Source organism: Homo sapiens, chromosome 6 (assembly GCF_000001405.40).
Source record: "Homo sapiens chromosome 6, GRCh38.p14 Primary Assembly".
Lineage (NCBI taxonomy): Eukaryota > Metazoa > Chordata > Mammalia > Primates > Hominidae > Homo > Homo sapiens.
Window position 1 is genome coordinate 46,549,284 of NC_000006.12, and position 22,605 is coordinate 46,571,888.

Here is a 22,605-nt window from a genome sequence, read left to right on the forward strand (position 1 = left end):
TGTGCTTGCTAGTAGGAAATGGATGACTAAGCAATCATTATCAACCTCATGGGATAATTCTAGCCCAGGGAAGCAAATAAGCCACAGAAGAACAACATGCACCACACAAAGCTTCCTCACTGTGAAATAAGAGAGGCAAGCAGCACTTTATATAATACTGGAAGATAAATTATGACATAAGTGTTCACTCTGTTATTAGTGTCATATGTTTTCCTGAACATGGTAAGATTTCTTTTCTGGATTTCATGGTAAATACTTGACAGTTATAAGTCTTTAATAGATTCCACTACAGTTACTTGTCTTGGCATACCGTTATATTTGTGTTTCTATGCATTAGCAAAAATATGGTATCTGCCAAACTATAATTGCAAACACTTTGAGTCAAAACAATGCTTCCAGGTTAATTAAAATATAAATCAATACATCAATCAACATACATTTATTGAATATACTCTGTAAAGAAGGTGCAATCCTGAGCATAATAAAGTGTAGAAATGAATGTAAGACACCATTCCTGTCCTCACAGGTCTCAGAAAACTACCATTTTATTACTTTTAGCATTAGATACGTTTACAATAAAGAATTATGTTAATAGAGCCTAGGAGTTCCAATTGCTAGTTGAGAATCACCTCAAGAAAAATAGAAAATTTGTAGAAATAATTATTAAATTTTAAAAATCTAAGCCTTTTAGACTTTTCAAAATAAAAATTTAAGTATGCTGCCTTCACAGTGAATTTAATGTGATAAGATTTTCATTCAAATGACATTATTTCTATTTAATGTTTTAATACAGTTATGCATGAAATCAAATTCCAACTTCTTAAAAAATGTGGAGTTTTTTTGGATCATTTGATCATTTCCTATAAACCATGTATTCCGGTCTCTATATTACTGAGAGTGATGTTAGATTCTTGGTCTACTGTTGAAGATACCAAACACATGCACCATTTGAATGTGTTCTTGAACTAAGTCCTAAAACAAAGTGAAGCAGTGTGTTTTTGTAGAGCTCAGGTCTAGGTGCTGCCAGGTGGGGTAGTGCCACTCCTCCAGAAGGCCCTGGTCCTTGTGAGGCCCAACAGATGTCATATTCTTTGTTTATATTCAATTCGGCATTGCCCTTCCGGCTGGGGGACACCCACCAAATGGAGATAACTCTAAAAACAGAAATGCAGAAGAAATAGAAATTAAGAGACATAAGTCCACAGTTTCAGACCTAAGGTTTATTCCATTGTAATCTTCTCTAAAAAGTACAAAATTTAGGTTTTTCAAGTTGGGAAATGTTTGCATCAATGAACTTCACAATATCCAACATCAACTTTAGCCTTCCATTCAGGCAGAAGAAAAAGAATACAATTCCTTATTCTAATAACAATCTCTTTAGTTGTACACACCTGAAGGCTATAGGCCTGCCACCCTTCGCTTTATCTGGCTAAAGAGGTTACCACAAATAAGGCTCTTTCTACAATTCTGGCTCAAAAACTGTGACACTTCATTTAGAATCGCTGAGTGAGATCTCCATACTGCAGGTTACAGGTGTTTAAAGAATGATGTGGAGTTGGTGATGTGAGCCACTTATAGCGTATTCATGATCGTGACTTTCCATAAAGATATATTTTTTTTGAGAGGAGTCTCACTCCATCGCCCCCATAAAGATACTTTGTAGGCTCCAAATATTCTGACTTTTTTCGCCCGAGTTAGAAATAAGATATGAAACTGTGTAGGGTCAAGGGGAGGTCAGCGTATTGTAAATAATACAAAGAGATATTTGAGGTTTAGGGGATTAAAAAAGAAAAGGAACATTTTCTGTCAACCATGAGGGCTGAGGGAAGATGAGGAGTGAGGAAAGATGAGGTGGATCCAATTTAGAATCAGTCTATTTTCAAGTTTGAATGAAATAGGGCACAAAATGGGCTCTTTAGCAAGGAGATTCTTTGGAGAGTTGAAAGAATAAGTTGCAGGGTTCCACGAACCCACTGAAATTGCATCCACAACTTTGTGTGTATGAAGAAGTATGCACTTTTCTACAAAGGGGATCCATGCATTTTGTGAGATTTCCTAAGGTTCTATGAACCCCAAAAGTAAAATGAAAAAAAAAAAAAAACAACCATACAAAGAAATAAAAACCCATTGTGTTAGCAAAAATGTGCTTGCTTTTGCAAGAGAATTAAAGTTGACTTTTCCTTAATGCTCAAAATGGAACAGCCCTCACTGCTAGCATCAGGACACTGCTGCCTGACCACAGATCCTTAAACTTTGTAGTATTTCCTTTTTGTTTGATTCATAATGGAAGAGAATTAACACTACATTATTTAAGGCCTTTTGAGGTAAAATAAAACATTGGGCTGTTGCAAAATTAAAATTGGAGATTCTAGCATTTGATTTTTTCTACTATGTTAAGTAAATTCCTTCAGGGGAGTTGGTTTCCAAGTCCACTGATTTCCCCTGCACCTGACAACAGAGTGTTCAGGACATGCTTTGACAACCCATCCCTGCCTTCTCCTAGAAGAGCCTGGTGATTTGACGGCCATTTCCTGTACTTTCTGGTCACCTGATTTTATAATTTATTGAAACAAGTTCAATAGTTAAATAAAGTTAATTGATGTTTCTCATTCTAGAATAAGAATTGTGAGATAAAATGCTCTTTGAGATCATGGGAATTCACTCAGACTTGTACTTTTTATAACCTGAGAGAACATTTCTTTAAAAAGTGTTCTCAGTGGTGTCAAAACATAAATAGGACATATATAAAATAGTATAAGAAATTAAATACAGATAATAGAATTCTTAGGAGAAAATGCTAGGAAAAATCCTGTCTTAAGGAATTGGTCAAAATTACTAATCTCCATGGTTTTAACCAATGCCATCCTTTTCACCTGAAAAGGCATTCTGGTGTCCTCTTGCTGGTGAGAAAATCTTTGGATGTTGAGTTTAACCTTGAGCAAAATTGTGACATTCAACTCAGTGGATCAGGAACTAGTATTTGATGTCCATAAAGCCTGACCCTGATGTTCATTTTGTCAACAATATAGCAGGTAGCTGAGACCCTTTGTGAGAGTTGTTTTGAGTTCCCTTTCATTGTAAGATTCTGAGAGCTCTTCATCACCGATAAGTTACTCGTCCTCAAAATAGAAGTGCAAAAGAAATCAAGTGAAATGCTGAAATGTGCATATTTGTGAGTAATAAAATACTTTCTGTGTCACTTACGCACTTACATAATTCCTATTGAAATGTCACCTAAGAGTTTTATTTATCTCTCCATACATTAGCCTTATTATATCAAGAGTAAATCAAAGCACAAAACGCTATGTGAATAGCTCTGAGATTGCAATCCTTAATTTCTGAGCTTCAGCCCCAATTTAAATAGCACCCTTTACCCAAAGTTTTCACATGATTTCCAAACATTTGGATTTAAATTGAACTTCCTTTTATTTCTTACAACAGAGGTCCTCAAAGTGTGGCACCCAGACAAGCAGCAGCAGCAGCGGCATCACCTGGAGCTTGTTAGAAATGCAAATTCTGGGCCAGGTGCTGTGGCTCATGCCTGTAATCCCAGCACTTTGGGAGACCAGCGTGGCCAACATGGCAAAACAACATCTCTACTAAAAATACAAAAAATTAGCCAGGCATGGTGGTGTGCGCCTGCAGGCCCAGTTACCAGGGAGGCTGAGGCATGAGAACCACTTGAACCCAGGAGGCGGAGGCTGCAGTGAGCTGAGATTGTGCCACTGAACTCAGCTCACAGTGTTTGGAGACTCTGTCTCAAAAACAAATAAAAAACAACCCCCCAACCAAAAAAAAAAAAAAAAAAAAAGGAAAGAAATGCAATTCTGTAGCCCCTCCCCTGTTCCTACTGGATCAGAAATTCTAGCGATAAATAGCACCTTTATACAGTCTGTTCTAACAAGCCCTACTAGTGATGCTGATGCTCACACCAATTCGAGAGCCACTGATCTATGAGAATAGATCTACAGAAAACTTAAATGACTGAATATTCAATAGTTTGAGGTAGGAATAAAACCATGACCTTTTCATTTCTGTTCACTGTTTTTACTGCTAGGTTAGTTTTTTTCCATGCTGTTCCTTTTCAGATGGACCAAGGGTTATGACTTGCATTAAAAACAATAGTTCACATTTGGATCACAGACATTCCTTTCTAGAAAAATAAGGGCAAAGTGGGCGCCATGTTTATTTAACTCAGAGAAAAGTGTTCAAATTGGTAAGTGCAATGAAGAGCTCCTAACACTGGAAGTGGTGGAAAGACTGCTATTAAGTCCCAGTCAGGTAGTAATTGGGTACATAGATTAGATCCTGAATTAAGGAGACCGAGTATCTTCTCAGTCTGGTTCAATCTAAGGCACCTGTTAAGATCAGGCCTAAGTGAGGAAATGTCAGCTCATCTCTAGTAATCAAAATTGGGGGAAGTGGGGGTGGTTATGTCATATTTATAAGTAGTCATGATACTCAAAATTCTGAAAACACTTACCTGTTTGGGTAATGGGTCCAGAAGACTACAGTCATATTTATAAAGTATTAAAATAATACACATCTGAACCTCTAACAGAGCAAACCACCTGGAAGAAACGAATAAAATTGTTACTTGATTGTGAAAGATGTATAAATATCTGCCAACAGAGAATATCTAGAAAGCATACATATTTCAGAGTAAACATGCTCTTCTTTACAATATACTCTTTTCCTATTTAAAGGACAGAGTAAGAACTTAACTCTTTCTTAATACCACCTACTCCATAGGGTAGCGGGATGATTAAATTGCTTTAAAATGTATATAAAGTGCTGAGCCAGTGGGAGCTCTCAATAAATGACAGTCCCAAGTCTCTCTCTTTAGGACTGTGCTTTCCAGTATCATAGCCATTAGATACAAGTGGCTATTTCAATTTAAATACATTTAATAAATAAGTTTAAGATTAAGCAAAATGGAAAATTTCAGTTCCTCGGTTGCACTGGCCATATTTCAAGTGCTCAAAAGCTGCATGTGGTTACAGGCTACTATACTGGACAGTGTATATTTAAGATATTTCCATGATCACAGAAGGCTCTATTGGACAGTCCTACCTAAGTCTAGATCCTGTTGCCCACTGGAAATTACTGCCTGAATGTTCTACAGGAACATCAAATTCCCCAGGACCTCTAAATCCACTTTTCCTTTTGCACTCCTTGTCTAAGAGTGCCCAAGCATTTTGATCACACACTCTTGATAATAAAATATTTCAGCATGCCCTACAATATATTGATACTCATTTATTTTAAATTATGCACATATACTACACTGTTTAGAGACTATTTTCTAAGACACATACAAATAGAAACTAAAAAACTGAAAAAAGTATAAATAGAATTCTGTTATTTTTCCCTGTGTCCCATTGGGTTGTTTTGAACTCTCTGCAGGATAGGGAAACCTTTTAGGAAGCATAGCCCTTAATGAATACAATTAGTCCAACGGGACAGAACATTGTCATAGACTAAATCCTCTCCATCACCCTCCATATCCAATTAGGCACCAAGTCCTTTTTTTATGGTTCTCCTAAATAGCTCTTAATTCTCCTCCTTAACCCCTTATCTCCAGTCCCTCCATGACTCCCTCAGTGTAGTTCTTCATCATTTATTTCCTGGATTACTGAATCAATTTACCTTCCACATGGCTTCCAGTTTCACTTCCCTCTACTCTGTCCTTTACCCTACCACTGGAGTAAACTTTCTAAAACACATATCTTCACTATCTCCTCATTACACACACACGCAGACACAGACACACACACACACACACACACACGCAATCTTTCAAACACCACAGCAGAATACAGCCAGCCCTTGAAGATCTGCCCCTTACCTATCTCTGCAGTCTCCTCTCCCCCAGAGCTCCCCCTTGACACCATGTGGCTCTAGCCACGTTATATTACTTGACATTCTCTGAATGATGATGCTCTGTGCCACAAGCCTTTCCCTTTCTGAGGCTCAATCTCCTCTGGAAGCATTTCCTGATAACTGTCCTCCAGGCTGTAGTGCCCTTCCTCTCCACCACATGGTTCCCTGGTCACATCTTAGCCACAGCTGCTACTGCACCACATTGTGATTGCTTGTTAGCCAGGGCTCTCCCAGAGGAGGATTTGTATTATGAGGCCTTAGCACAGTGCACAGCACACTATTAGTACCTAATAATGTTAACTGAATAAATGAATAGTGATGGAAAGTGATGCCTTCCATAGAGAAGATTCAATTTCCTGCCCTTTCCACCTGTCTCTGTATTTCTGTGGCACTTTACATATCCCTTAACTAATGCCTTTATCCTACAATCCTACTATATCTTACTATATTACAGCTAGAATTTGCATGTCTGTCTTCCCTTATAGACTACAGCCTTCACAAAAAGCAGGAACTATGTCTTATCTTTAAATCATCAATGTTTGTTGATTGAATGAGTGAATGTATACATATCAATGATCTCATATTCATATCAAATAATTAGATTTTTCTGCACTACTGTTCTTGAAACATCTTGACTGTATTTTATTTCAAATGAAATCTGGAGCACTCCAGGTGTGGCTATAATCCATCTGAATATCACATCAATTATTCAGTAATATTTATGATGCAAATTTAACCCTACTTACTTGCAAATGCTAAAGATAATTTATTCTAAAAGGGTATCCATGTCTATGAAATAGGACATGGCTAATATTTACTGATTTGGATCAAAGTCAGCAATGTTTCTAAGAAAAAACAACTTTGCTAACTCACATAAAGGTTCAGAATGTCTCACAACTAAGGTTTTGTCAAACTTTTCACAAATTGGAATTTCCATTCCTGGCCATGATAAAGTAACAAAAGTTGGTGTTATCTTCCTGCCTTAAATAACTCAAAAACGGGGCAAACTCCAGTGTAGGACAAAGATCTCCAGAGGAAGTAAAGAATGAGACGAAACCCATGATTGCTTCGGTTTCCTGCTTCTGGCAGTCTTCAGGCCACAGTGCAAGGACAGAAAAAACTCACAGGTCTGAGAGTATTATTAATTCAGCAGACAGAGATCCAAGTTCAGGCAAGCTAAAGAGACTAAAATTTGTAGAGAAGAGTATCAGAAAAGAAGGAGTTTCACAGAAAGAGAGCGCACAAGAGTATTCCAGGGATCTAGATAGGAGTCTACTTGAGTATTTGGCAGAGTACTGATCTCTGCATGTGTGAGAGAAAACTACTGAGACGGAAAAAGAACCACAAAAGGGAAATCAAAGCACAAGAAGCTGAATAAGGCCAAGAGCTCACACAAGACATGGAGGCTGTGTTCACACAAGAAAAAGTCTCACCATTGTACAGCACATGGACCATTAGCTAGAGCTCTTAAATGGGTATTGCCTTAGTAGTGGGATTAGATTATTTTACATTAAATGGCGCTCTGGATTTACCTTACTGAAGCTTAAAAACAAGTTTTGCAAAGTTGTTTTTCTAAGCAACTAACTGCATGTCATAATGAGGTCTAAACTAAAAGAATACAACACAACCCAGTATCCATGGCACTTAACATTTACGTCTTGCCATCTATTCAAAAGTTAACAGGCTTAGAAAAAACAAAACAGAAAAATGACCTCAATCCAAGAGAAAGCCCATTGAAAAAATATAGGCCCAGAAATGACAGATATTAAAAATAGTTATTATACTCCACAGGTTCATAAAGGTAGAAAAGAACAGCATGATGAGGAGAGAAAGATAAGATATTTTAAAAATAATTGTGCTTCTAGCAATGAAAAATACAATATCTTAAATGAAAAATAAACTGGATGGGATTAACAGATGGTAAAATGCTGCCAAAGAAAAGATAATGGAATTTAATTAACATAACAAAGAAAAATATCTAAAATGAAGTACACAGAATAAAAGCCTATAAAAATAAATAGGTTATTAACTTATAAAATAACGAAGTCTAACATACATGTTATTAGAGATATAGATGACCAAGCAGGGAAAATATTTTGAGAAGTAATAGTGAAACATTTTCAAATTTTTTTGAAAACTATAATTTACAGATCAAGACCCCCAAGCAGAAGAAATATAAAGAAAATCATGCCGACTGGGTGCAGTGGTTCATGCCTGTAATCTCAGCACTTTGGAAGGCTGAGGCAGGTAGATGACCTGAGGCCAGGAGTTTGAGACCAGCTTGGCCAACATAGCCAAACCTCGTCTCTAATAAAAATACAAAAATATTAGCTGGGCACGGTGGTGTGTGCCTGTAATCCCAGCTACTTGGGAGGCTGAGGCAAGAGAATAGCTTGAACCAGGGAGGAGGAGGTTGCACGGAGCCAAGATTGTGCCACTACACTCCAGCCTGGGCAACAGAGCAGAACTCTGTCTTTAAAAAAAAAAAAAAGCAAGGCACAGTGGCTCACACTTGTAATCCCAGTATTTTGGGAGGCCGAGGAGGGCAGATCATGAAGTCAGGAGTTCAAGACCAGCCTGGCCAAGATGGTGAAATCCCATCTCTACTAAAAATACAAAAATTAGCCAGGTGTGGTGGTGGGTGCCTGTAATCCCAGCTACTGCGGAGGCTGAGGCAGAGAATTGCTTGAACTCCGGAGGCAGAGTTTGCAATGAGCTGAGATCGCACCACTGCATTCCAGCCTGGGAGACAGCAAGACTCCATCTCAAAAAAAAAAAAAAAAAAAAAGAAAAAAAGAAAAAGAAAATCATGCTAATGTGAATCATAATCAAATTGCAATTAATAAATAAACCCAGGGATTAAAAAAATTAAGTAGCCAGAAAACAAAGACACCATAAAGAACAACAAACATTAAAAGTTAACATAGACTTTTCACTGGAAACAATGCAAGCCAAAGGACTTACAATGTGTTTAAAGAATAGAAAGAAAAATAATAAGCAGTCAAGGTATAAAGAAAGGGAGCTAATACTGTTTGTATTCATCTGTTCTCACACTGTGAAAAGAACTTATCTAAGACTTGGGAATTTATGAAAAAAAAAGAGGTTTAATTGACTCACAGTTCTGCAGGCTTAACAGGAAGCATGACTGGGAAGCCTCAGGAAACTTGCAATCATGGCAGAAGGTGAAGGGGAAGCAAGCTCCTTCTTCACATGGTGGCCGGAGAGAGAAAGCGAGCAAAGGGGGAAGTGCCACACACTTTTACACCATCATATCTCGTGAGAACTCATTCACTATCACGAACATCAAGGGGGAAGTTCACCCCCATGATTCAATCACCTCCTACCAGGCCCCTCCTCCTCCAAATGTGGAGATTATAATTCAACATGAGATTTGGGTGGGGACACAGAGGCAAACTATATCACTGTTCTTTCTAATAATGCACTAATTTTACCATGAGAGAGATCAGCCTAAGTAATCTGGGGGTAAATATTTAATTTTCTCCGTAAGGATTTAGATTATAGCATGCATTAGGAAAAAAGGTGATTGTCGGCCGGGCACGGTGGCTCATGCCTATAATCCCAGCACTTTGGGAGGCCGAGGTGGGTGGATTACTAGGTCATGAGATTGAGACCAGCCTGACCAACATGGTGAAACCCCGTCTCTACTAAAAATAGAAAAATTAGCTGGGCGTGGTGGCACGCACCTGTAATCCCAGCTACTCAGGAGGCTGAGGCAGGAGAATTGCTTGAACCTGGGAAGCAGGGGGTGCAGTGAGCCGAGATCGCGCCACTGCGCTCCAACCTGGTGACAGAGCAAGACTCCATCTCAAAAAAAAAAAAAAAAAAAAGGTGATGGTCTTTGGGAATTGTGTAAAAGAGAGAAAGAGACTGATGTTGAAATGACAATCAACCATTCATTCAGTAGAAAATTTAAAAGAATTAATATTTGGGCAGGTCTTAAGGAACATAGTGTGCCTGTGCCCGCAATGAACAGTTTTGAGGAACTCAAGTCCCAAGGACAACCATGGACAGTCCTGCTAAAGCCCCTCATGTTACTCTATACTCAGACTGAGAAATGACCTAGGGAGGAAGGGTGGTGATATATCTTGGAGAAAAATCAGCTTCTCAGAGGAGGGATGAGACTAAAAGGAGGGCAGCTGCTCTGTGACTATTTTGCAAAAGAGACAAACACATTGCCATGTAAAGGCATATAAGGTTAGGAAAAAGGAACCTTCTGTGAAGTGCTCAATTTAAGTACTTTTCTCTAGGACTATAGGAAAATAAACATTTTATGTACAATTTTAATATTTCCCTACCTATGCTGTAATTTGCTTACCCTAAAAATTCCATAAGAACTGACACATTTACACTATCTTGTGTGATAGTGCAGTGGAAAGTAAAGAGGTGATATAATGGCAGGAAGCATGAGTAGCCTCACTTTCATCCCTCTGCTGGAGATGATCTGAAAAAAGCAGCATCTCATTTTCAGTGCTGTGGGTGGTAGCACGTGGAGGAGCTGGGAGCTCAGCAAAGACTGCAGAACACCAAGGGTCAAATTTAAATGGATAACTAGGTTGTGAATGTAACACACCTGTCTTTTCTCTCTTCTCCTTTGAAAAAAAGTGACTTTTATGGGAACAGTAAAGCGACACTTAGATTATACACTAAGAGTTCTAACAATAAAATAAGACCCCCATTCATTCATTCATTCATTCGATGTTTATTGTGTCCTTATGTGCTTTATATACTTCTAAGCACTGAAGTCACCCCAGTAAACAAAAACAATATTCATGTTCTCATAAAGCTTAAATTCTAGTAGAATGCATTCTAGAATAATAAATAAGAACAGGAAAGAAAGTTGATGGAGGTGTGGGCTAAAATATTTTAGAGAAGGAAGGTCTCTCTGATGAGGTGACATTTTATCAGACCCTAGAATAAAATAAGAGGGTGAGCCATAAAAGGTGCAAAAATCCAGAGTTAGAAGAATGAGAAATGATGAGAAGGCTAGTATTGAGATGGGAAGCTACTGGACAGTTTTGAGAAGTATGACAAGCTCTGAAAGGATCCTTCAGTTGCTACACTGAGAATAAAATATAGGGTGAGATGAATGGAAGCGAAAAGAGTGATAAGAAAGCCACTACAATTTTCCAGACAATAGAAAGTGGTGACTTAGAACAGGATGGTAGAAATAGTTGTAAGCCATAGTTAGAGTCTGGATATATTCTGTAGGATGGACTGATGGTTTACATTATACATGTGAAGAATATAAAGGAATCAAGGATGACTCCAAAGTTTTCGACTTGAGGAAATGCAAGGATACAGCTGTTGTTTACCTCAGAAATGGGGAAGATTGAAGGAAGAGGAGGTTGAGGGAATTGTAATCTGGAGCTCAGTTTTGGACTTAAGTACAGCTCTCTATAGACCAGTGCCTTTTAGATATCCAAAGAAGATGTTGAATGGAAGCTAAGTAATGAGCCCCATGATTAGGAAGGATTCATTCAGGGTCAGAGATAGAAGATTTATAAATATAAGAGTCATCATTATTTAGACAATTATTTAAAGCCATGGGGCAGTATGAGATCACTTACAGAGTGAGTTAAATAAACTTGATTAAAAAAAATCTACGGAAGGAGCCCTGGGGTAATCCAAAATTTGGAAGTCAGGAAATTGAGGAAGATGAGCAAAGGAGATGGGAAAGAAGCAGGCCAAAAGGTAGAATAATAAAGGAAGGTGGTGTGTCTGCAACCCCATAAATAAAGTGTTTCATGGAAGGTGTGAGCCAGCCTATCAAATGGAAAGAAGGCAAAAAGCACCAATATGTGAAATTAGACATCAAGCTCCCACTTACATAAAGTAACCACTTCTTTTCAGTACTTAGCTCTCTTCCTACAAGTAAATTAAATGAGCTCACTTTTTCAAATAACTAAGTTGGCATTTCATGTTTGGTAGAATATTAGGAAGTAGTGACTTCCTAGCATTCAATATTTACTTGGCAGCTCTAGAAAAAATGCTGGCTAATTTTGTATTTGTGAATTATAGAACAGTTTTGTAGGTTCCTTGCTTTATTCAAATAAATCCTATCTCCTTATCATTGTTTTAAGCCCTTCTCTAATATAAGCTTGCTATTGACCAGTGCAGTGATTTCCAACTTCTCTGAGTTCAGCATCCTGGGATAAAAGGCCCCTGCCACTCTTCCTCTCAAGTCCCTAGAGGCACTGCAACAAGCGAAAAAGACAGTCAACAATTTGAGGGTGCAGTATGGGAGCTGCGCAAGTGAAGAAGGTACACTTGGCAGAGAGAAAATCCATTCCAAGGGACAGACTTAGAAGAAAAATAGTATCTAGGGACCTGCAAGTTGTTGACTCCATGCAGAAGGTGAGGTGATGAGAGATGAAGCTGGACAGTGCAGGAGGAGCCGGTTCAAGGGGGGTTTGAATGTGCCATGTGACAGTGTTGGGACTTTAATAACGAAAGTGCCCCTCAATAGATTGTGCTGATTGAACAATTATATCTAGGTGTGGAAACGGGGTTTCTCGAAGCTTTATTACAACATATAGGAGGTATTCAATAAATACTTCCTGGATCCCTAAAATAATTTGCTAAGCAAATGAGAAATGCAAACAAGATCAACGTTCATAAGTTAAGAGCACAATATTAAACATTTTAGAAATACCGTGCATATTTTGATTAGAAATAATTAGAAATAGTGGTTACCAAAGGCTGGGGTTAGGGGAGTTGGGGAAATGTTATTCAAGGGACACATTTCAGTTAGACAGGAGGAATAAGTTCAATATACTGATTGTATATCATGGTGGCTACAGTTAATAACAATATGAAAGTTGCTAAGAGAGTAGTTTGTTTGTTTGTTTGTTTTTTGAGACAGTCTCACTCTGTTGCCCAAGCTGGAGTGCAGTGGTACGATCTTGGCTCACTGCAACCTCCGCCTCCTGGGTTCAAGTGATTCTCCTCCCTCAGCCTCCTGAGTAGCTGGGATTACAGGCACCTGCCACCACAACTGGCTAACTTTTGTATTTTTAGTACAGATGGTGTTTCACCATGTTGGCCAGGCTGGTCTTGAACTCCTGACCTCAGGTGATCCACCCACCTTGGCCTCCCAAAGTGCTGGGATTATAGGCATGAGCCACTGTGTCCAGACTAAGAGAGTAGATTTTAAGTGTTCTCACCTCAAAAAAAAAAGTATGTGACATAATGCCTATCTTAAACAGCTTAACTTGGCCATTTTACAACATGTACATATTCAAAGCATCATATAGTACATCATAATTTTTACTTGTCATTTAAAGTAAATACATTTTAAAGGCCAGGCATGGTGGCTCATGCCTATAATCCCAGTGCTTTGGGAGGCTGAAGCAGGTGGATCACTTGAGCTCAGGAGTTGGAGACCAGTCTGGACAACATGGTGAAACCTCCTCTCCATTAAAAAATAAATAAAATAAACAAATAAATAAATAAATTTTTAAAAGTTTGAAGCTGAAAAATATGTTAGAAAAAATCTGTAGAGAAAGTAGAATGAGGAACAGAATGAATAATAAAAAATTTCAAAAAAAGATTAGAAATAATATTTACCAATGTATTAAAACAATTTTCTGTTACAATCTATAAGGCAGAATTTCCCTAATTAATTTTAGTCTATGTGATGTTCTTAAAAATGATAAAACTACATTTCCCTTAAAGATAAATACTCAGGCTTTTGGCCAATTCATAATGTACATTTTGAATTTGTGTGGCTTAATATTTTTCTTTTCTACTTTTTAGTGTTAGTTTAGTTATTAAATTAATAACTAGCTATTAAGATAGTATTGATATTTATATTACATTAAGATTTTGATATCTTAAAGGAAAAGTTGAATTTTCTTCAAATCCAAATATTTGGATATTCTAATAGAATTACCTCAATTCACCACTAAAGTTTTTTTCTTTACAGTGGCAAAAAAAAAAAAAAATACTGTTTTTTAAAGCCTTTACTATGTCACTGAATTTTGTTCAATGTGTAAAATACCAGAAACTGACATATACATACCTAGGACATAGAAAGCTTTTTATGTCAAAGAAAACGGGCCTTGTAAATTCGTATTTTTACAGAAGCTCTTCAGAAGCAAGCTAAGCTATGTTCAGGTAAGTAATGTTTTCTTAATACTTCTAATGTCAAAACAGTGAAAATAATGAGGCACATTGTTTATGACAGATTTATCTTTTACACTTACAAGAACAACATTACACATCTACTAATAAAGCTCATTAAAATAGAAACATGTTGAAAATTTTTTAAATACTTGGTACTTGCGTATTTTCTGCATTTGTATTTAAATACTTCATTAAGGAATGCTACACAGGCATTGAGAACACCAAGACCGACACAACACAATGCTAGCAATGCACATGGAGAGATGGAAGAGGTCACAATAATATATAGATGAAGGTAGAAACAAGGGAAACAAAATTTGGAGTCTGGAGAGCACTCTACAACCTGGCATGATTAACACTGACTTTATATGGAGGTGAAACTTGAGCTACACCATGAGGGCAAAAGAACCTTTAAATAAGTAGACTTGTTGAGTGAGAGCATTCCAGAGCCAGCAGAAAACATGGGCAAGGGGAGGAGTGGACACTCTGTAGTAAGGAACAGCAAGTAGACGCTCTGGGGAGGACATTCTCAGATGTTTAGAAAGGTAAGGCTGGTGTCAGATTATGGAGGGCCCGGAGTTCTAGGCTAATGAGTTTGGTCAGCAGGTAGTGGCACCAGAATCTCAATGAGAGAGTGACAATCAGATTATTATTTAAGGAAAACTCATCTGTATGTAGTGAGTAAGATGGATTGAAATAAGAGATAATACAGTCAGGGAGAAGGGTTAGGCAATGATAATAGTCATCTGATGCTGAGGTGAAGGAGACCTAGTTTGTTTTTTATTTTGTATTTTTTTTATTTTATTCTATTTTATTCTATTTTATTCTATTCTATTTTATTCTATTTTATTCTATTTTATTCTATTTTATTCTATTTTATTTTATTTTATTTTATTTTAAGACAGAGTCTCCCTCTGTTGCCCAGGCTGAAGTGCAGTGGTGTGATCTCGGCTCACTGCAATCTCTGCCTCAGGGGTTCAAGCTATTCTCTCCTGCCTCAGCCTCCCAAGTAGCTGGGATTATAGGCACCCACCATTACACCCAAGTAATTTTTTTGTATTTTTAGTAGAGACGAGGTTTCACCATATTGGTCAGGCTGGTCGCAAACTCCTAACCTCAAGTGATCCGCCCATCTCAACCTCCCAAAATGCTGGGATTACAGGTGTGAGCCACTGGACCTGGCTGAGGAGACCTAGTTTTAAAGGAGTGGAGAATGTACACAGAAGGCCAGAAGGAAGGAGGAGTAAAGGATAACTCCAAAAACCCAGGTGTCTAAGAGAGCAGTGATAGAAGGAGAGAGAGTACTGAAGGAATGCTAGTATTGGGGAAAATTGATGATTTTAATTTTAGATGTCTTGATTTTGAGACTGAATACCTCTGTCACTTTTAAAGAGAACACCTCTCTCTTTTTTCCTCCTAGAAGTCATTGTAGGTAATGCCAGCATGTGCTGGAAAGCTATCACTGTTGCCAGGAGCAAGAGGTCTGAAGTATATTCCTAGTTGCCACCAGCTGCAGCTTATGAAAATAGAATGATCTTGCCCCGGAATTCAGAGAAGGTAGCATACAGACATAGTGTCATAGGCATCATTCATTGAAGCGCAGCTATCAAGTTAAAGCGGAAGTATGGCAACCTCATCCCTCTGAGAAATCTTTTAGGAAAATAAAATCAATATGGTAGCAGGAGGCAAAATAATCTAGCACCTGTGATTCTCAAATTTTAGTGCATCAGAATCATCTGGAGGGCTTGTTAAAACAGATTGCTGGGCCCCACCCCCAAAGTTTCTGAGTCGGGAGATCTGGGACAGGGCCCAGGAACTTGCATTTATTACAAGTTTCCTGGTAATCTTAATACTGGTGGTCTGGGGACCACATTTTGAGAATACTGATCTAGAGGAACTTGTCAAGGAAAATGATGAAAAAAAAATATGTTAGAAGATGCAGTTTGCCAAACCTTTTAATTTTAGCACACAACATTAAAATTATAAAGAATATCTCCATTATACATGCAACATTATGTCTGGGGTACCAAACTTTTGATTGGGAATACTGGTGAAAGCATAATCTGGTAGAGTGGGAAGGTAGATGTTTTATATTAAATATAGAAAAAAAAGAACAAAATGGGAAGAGAAGAAAGGGATAAGGGTAAGCTGAATGAGAAGGAAAAGAAGAAAACATAAAAAAAAGAAGAAAATGGGAAATAAATAAAATAAAAAAAGGAGATGAGAAAGTGTAAACACATCAAACGAATCTGGTGTAGACGTTTATGTAACAATGTTGTGAGTTGCTTTTCATTTGCCATGGACCCCCAGGATGAAGGTCATGTAACCAGGGCATGCCCAGATAACCAACTGTGCAACCACAGAGGGATTAAGTGCTTGGACCAAGGAGCAGGGACTGAATTAAGCAGCATACACCACATTGCAGGATCCAGGATCCAATCAGATAGAGCACTGTCATCACCCATGGCAGGATCCAGTCAGATCATGCTTCCCGACATCACCTCATTGTTAAGATCCAATCAGATCACACATCATTACCCTATGCTTATGAAACCTACCCCAGCCTCCAGCTTGGGGAGACAGATTTGAGCATTTCCTCCTGTATCCTTGCCAGTTGACTTGAAATAAAAGTTTTCTTTTCTCAAAAGCCAGTGCCATGGTATTGGCCTCTATGCACATCTGACAGCAAACTCACTGATGCTCAGTCACAAGAGCAGATGGGACAGCAAGAATGAAGAACTGGAGAACCTCAGCCCTTCTCGATTTGACATACTGTTTTCTGTTTCATTAGGAAGATTATAAGTGGCTGTTACTAGGAGTGCATGCTCTGGAGCTATTGTTTTCCTGACTGCAGCCAGGATTGTTCTAATGGTGATCCTATGGTTACTCCTCCTAGAAATAAAATTTCCATACAAATGAGCTATGAGCTAATAGTTTGGCTATCTCTTTTTAAACATTCTGTATTGGTCCATTTTTATACTGCTATAAAGGACTGCCCAAGACTGGACAATCTATAAAGGAAAGAGGCTCAATTGACTCATAGTTCAGCATGGCTAGGGAAGCCTCAGGACACTTACAATCATGGTAGAAGGTGAAGGGGAAGGAAGGCACCTTCTTCACAAGGCGGCAGGAAGGAGAAGTGTGAGCAAAGGGGGAATAGTCCTTTATAAAAACCATCAGATCTCGTGAGAACTCACTCACTATCATGAGAACAGCATGGGGGAAACCACTCCTGTGATTCAATTATATCCACCTGGTCTCTCCCTTGACACATGGGGATTATGGGGATTATACAGATTACAATTCACAATGAGATTTGGGTGGGGACACAAAGCCTAACTATATCAGCTTCTTATTAAGGAAAAGGGGCAAAGGAATAGTACTGACTTAATTAAGTTTAAGTACTTGCAAAATAGAAATGATCTTATGGCTTATTTTATTTATAGCTCATTGAGATAAGATTGACCTCAAAATATAAATAAATAAGAATTATATATATATTTAAAGCACAAAATGAGATGATTATATATATATATATACACACACATACATATATGCACACATATATACATGTACCCATATATACACATACACACACATTGTGAAATGATTACCACAGTCAACCTAATTAACATATCCGTCACCTCATGTGGTTACCCTTTTGTGTGTTTGGGAGAAGTGGGGGGGTGAGAAAATTTAAGATCTGTTCTCTTAGCAACTGTCAATTGTACAATACATTATTATTAATTATAGTGACCATACTGTACATTAGGTCTCCAGAACTTATTAATCTTGTAACTGAAAGCTTGTACTCTCTGCCTGATATCTCCAATCCCCCAACCCCTGGTAACCACCATTCTACTCACTGTTTCAATGAGTTCAAATTTTTAGATTACACATATAGATGACTTTATGTAGGATTTGTCTTTCTGTGTGTAGCTGATTTCACTTAGTATAATGTCTTCCAGGTTGACTCAAGTTGTTGCAAATGGCAAGATTTCCTTTTGTAAGGCTGAAAAATATTCCATATATATATATATAACTTTTTTATCCATTTATCAATCAACACTTTGGTTGTTTTAATATTTTGGCTATTGTGATTAATGCTGCAATGAGCCTAGGAGGGCAAATACTTCTTTTGAGATACTGATTTTGTTTCCTTTGGATATATATCCAGAAGTGGAATTGCTGGATCATATGGCAATTTTTTTTAAATGCTTGAAGAACTGCCATACCGTTTTCCATAGCAGCTGTTCCATTTTACATTCCCACCAATAATGCACAAAGGTTCCAATTTCTCCACATCCTCACCAACACTTGTTATTTTCTTTGTTTACGGTAGTCATTCTAATGGATATGCCAACTCAAAAATATATAGAGATGAATCTCTAAGCAAGAGGTTTTGTTTGGAATATATAAGGAATAGAACTGCAATTCAGGGCACACACACAGACTAGGGTGGCCTCTGTTATGCTCACAGAACAAAGAAATGGTTAAGGTTTACTGGGGCAAGGGAAGGTTAAACAAATTGTTTTGAGAGAAAGTTCACTGGTGCTGGCAGCATCTTACAAGAGCTAGTGAGCTCTGATAGGTGAGTTTCAGCAGTTGCCAGGTGGGACTTGCAGTCTTGAAATTATGGTTAGGTCCATGCAGATCTGGATTGAGCTTATAAGACATTTTTTTTTAAAAAAAAAACAGGTGTATGTAACCTTAGTGTTTTTCTCATGGCTTCTTGACTCATTTTAGTTGGGTATGACATAAATGACTTCATTTTGTATAATCAACTTTCACAGGTATAAGGTGGTATTTCAATGGAGTTTTGATTTGCATTTCCCTAATGATTAGTGATGTTGAGCATCTTTTCATGTGCTTACTGTCCATTTGTGTATGTTCTCTGGAGAAATGTCTATTTAAGTTCTTTGCTCATTTCTGAATTGGGTTATTTTGTTGTTGAGTTTTAGAAGTTCTCTATGCATAATGGAAACTAATACCCTTATCAGATATGTAATTTGCAAATATTTTATCCCATTCTGTGTGTTGCCTTTTTGTTTTGTTGATACTGTCTTTTGATGCACAAAATTTTTAAATTTTCATAAAGTCCAATTTTGTCTATTTTTCATTTGTTGTTTGTGCCTTTGGTGTCATATCCAAAAATTAATGCCAAATCCAATGTCATAAAGCTTGTGCTCTGTTTTTCTTCTAAGATTTTTATAGTTTTAAGTATTTATTTTATTTTGAGTTAATTTTGGTGTATGGTATTAGGTTATAAGAGTCCAACTTCATTCTTTTGCATGTAAATATTTAGTTGTCCCAGCGCCATTCATTGAAAAGACTGCTCCTTTCCCATGGAATGGTCTTAGTATCTTGGTCAAAAATCATTTGACCACATATTCCAGGGTCTATTTCTGGGCTCTCTATTCTATTGTATTGGTCTACATGTCTATCTTTATGTCAACAGCACACTGTTTTAATTACTGCAGCTTTGTAGTAAGTTTTGCAATCAGAAAATGAGAGTCCTCCATTTTGTTCTTCTCTTTCAAGATTGTTTTGGCTACTTGGGGTCCTTGAAATTTTATATAAATTTCAGAATAGGCTTTTCTATTTCTGCCAAAAAAAAAATAACATCATTGCGATTACATTGAATCTGCAGACTTCTTTGGGTAGCACTGGCATCTTTAACATTATTAGTCTTCCAATCCAGAAACATGGGATATGTATCTATTTATCTATGTCCTTAATTTCTATCAGCAATGTTTTATAGTTTTCAGTGTATAACTCTTTCACCTTCTTGGTTTAGCTAATTCCTAATTGTTTTATTCATTTTTATGCTATTATAAATGGGATTGCTTTCATAGTTTCCTTGTCAGATTGTTCAGTTAGTATATAAAAATGCAATGGATTTTTTGTGTGTTCATACTGTATCCTGCTACTTTGTTGAGTTATTTATTAGTTCTAACAGTGTTTTGGGGGCAGTGGATTGTACATATAAGATCATATCATCTGTGAAGAGTCATAATTTTACTTCTTCCTTTCCAATTTGGATTTCTTTTATTTCTTTTTTTGCCTAATTGCTCTGGCTACAACTTCCAGTACTATGTCAAATACAAGTAGCAGAAGTGGCATCCTTGTCTTGTTCCTGGTCATAGAGAAAAGTTTCTAATCTTTAACCATTGAGTATGATGTTAGCTGTGGGCTTGTCATATATGGCCTTTATTATGTTGAAGTACTTTCCTTCTATACTCGATTTGTTGACAGTTTTTTATCATGAAAAGATGATAAATTTTTTCAAATGCTCTTTCTGCATCCATTGATATAATCATATAATTTTTGCTTTTCCTTTTGTTAATGTGGTATATGACATTCTTCATTTGCATAGGTTGGACCACCCTTGCATCCAAGGGATAAATACTACTTGATCATGGTGTATGATCCTTTTAATTTGCTGTTGAATACAGGTGCTAGTATTTTTTTTTGTAGAAGCTTTGCATTTATGTTCATCAGGAATATGGACCTGTAGTTTTCTTTTCTTGTAGTTTCCTTGTCTGACTTTTGTGTCAGGGTAATGCTTTGTAAAATGGGTTTGGAAGTGTTCTCTCTTCAATTTTTTCTAAGAGTTGGAAAAGAATTTGTATTAATTCTTTAAATGTTCAGTAAAATTCAGAAGGGAAACAGTTCATGGGCTTTTCTTTGATAGGAGACTTTTAATTTGTGATTCAATCTCCTTACTTGTTGGTCTGTTAAGATTTTCTATTTCTTTATAATTCAGTCTTGGTAGGTTTTATGTTTCTGGAAATTAATCTAGTTTTTCTAGGTTATCTAACTGGTTTTATTTAAATGCACATAGTAATCTCTTATGATCCTATGTGTTATCTGTTGTCCTCCTTCACTTCTGATTTATTTGTCTTCTGTCTCTTTTCATCAGTCTACCAGAAGATATATCATTTTTCAAGACTTAATTTTTTAACTGAAAAACCTTTTTGTTGACTTTTTAAATTGTTTTTCTAGTCTCTATTTCATTTATTTCTGCTTTGAGCTTTATTTCCATATGTCTGCCAACTTTGTGCTTCATTTGTTCTTCTTTATCTAGTTCCTTGAGGTGTAAATTTACATTGTTTATTTGAGGTCTTTCTTTATTCTTAATGTAGGTGTTTATCACTATATACTTCCCCCTTAGAACTGTGTTTGATGCATTCTGTAAGCTTTGGTATGTTGTTGTGTTCGTTCATTTGTGTTGCTATGAAGGAATACTTGAGACTAGGGAATTTATAAAGAAAAGAGGCTTATTTGGCTCATGGTTCTGCAGGCTGTACATGAAGCATAGTGCCAGTATCTGCTTCTGGTGAGGGCCTCAGGAGGCTTACAGTCATGGAAGAAGGTGAAGGGGAGCCAGCATGCAACACAGGGAGAGAGAATGCAAGAGAGAAATGGGAGAGGTTCCAAACTCTTTTTAACAATCAGATATTGCAGTAGTTCATTGCCATAGAAAGGCCCCAAGCCATTCATGGGGGATTTCCCCTCACTATCAAAACACCTCCCAATAGGGCCACCTCCAATACTGAAGATCACATTTCAACATGAGATTTTGAGAGGACACACATCCATACCATATCAGATATGTTTCCATTTTTACTTGTCTCAAAATGTAAACAAAGTATTATGTCTTCTTTGGCCCATTGTCATTCAGTAGTATGTTGTTTAATTTCCATATGTTTGTGAATGTTCCAGTTTTCCTCCTGTTATTGATTTCTAGTTTCATAACACTGTGGTAAGAAAGGGCACTTGATATGCCTTCAACTTTCTTAAATTTTTTATGGTCTACTATATGACCTATCTTGAAGACTGTCATAGCACTAGACATAGGTGCTTGAGAAGAATGTATATGCTGCTGCTGTTGGATGAAATGTTCTGTATATGTCTGTTAGGTCCATTTGGTCTAAAATGTAGTTCAAGTCCCATGTTTCCTTATTGATTTTCTGCTTGGATGATCTCTCTATTGTTGAAAGTGGGGTATTTAAGTCCCTTACTATTATTGCATTGATATTTATTTATCCCTTCAGTTCTGTTAATATTTGCTTTGTATATTCAGGTGCTCTGATGTTGGGTACACATATATTTACAATTGTTTTACCCTCTTGATGAATTTATCCCTTTATCATTATATAATGACCTTCTTTGTCTTATTTTACAGTTTCTGAATTAACGTCTAGTTTGTCTAATCAGAGCTAACTCTGCTGTCTTTTGGTTTACATTTACATGGAATATCTTTTTCCATCCCCTTCACTTTCAGCCTATATGTGTCCTCAAGGGAGCATTTTATAGGCAATATATAGCTGGGTATTGTTTTTGTTTGCTTTTTTTTTTTACCAATTCAGTTATTATGTGACTTTTGACTACATAATTCAATCCATTTACATGCAAAGTAATTAATTATAGGTAAGAACTCACTATTGCCATTTTGTAAAAATTTTCTGTTTTGTAGTTCCTTAGTTCTTTTGTTCCTCTCTTGCTATCTTCCTTTCTGATATGATTCGTTTTTGTAGTGGTATACTTTAATTCATTTCTCTTTATCTCTTGTGT

The 22,605-nt window shown here is 37.1% G+C and overlaps 1 protein-coding gene across 5 annotated transcripts in view; it reads right to left on the minus strand.

The window, feature by feature from the left end:
* Positions 297 to 22,605, minus strand: part of CYP39A1 (cytochrome P450 family 39 subfamily A member 1) — a 103,239-nt gene continuing 80,930 nt past the window's right edge. For 4 of the 5 annotated variants that reach the window (NM_001278739.2, NM_001278738.2, XM_017010924.2 and 1 more), the window contains 2 exons: positions 4,484 to 4,571; positions 297 to 1,154 (listed from right to left, as the gene is read on the minus strand). In NM_001278739.2, coding sequence (NP_001265668.1) covers positions 1,083 to 1,154; positions 4,484 to 4,571 — 160 coding nt within the window. In that variant the 3' untranslated portion in view covers positions 297 to 1,082. Of the gene's footprint in view, positions 1,155 to 4,483; positions 4,572 to 22,605 lie in introns of those variants that run through there. The other variant, XM_047418860.1, reaches the window with a different exon arrangement.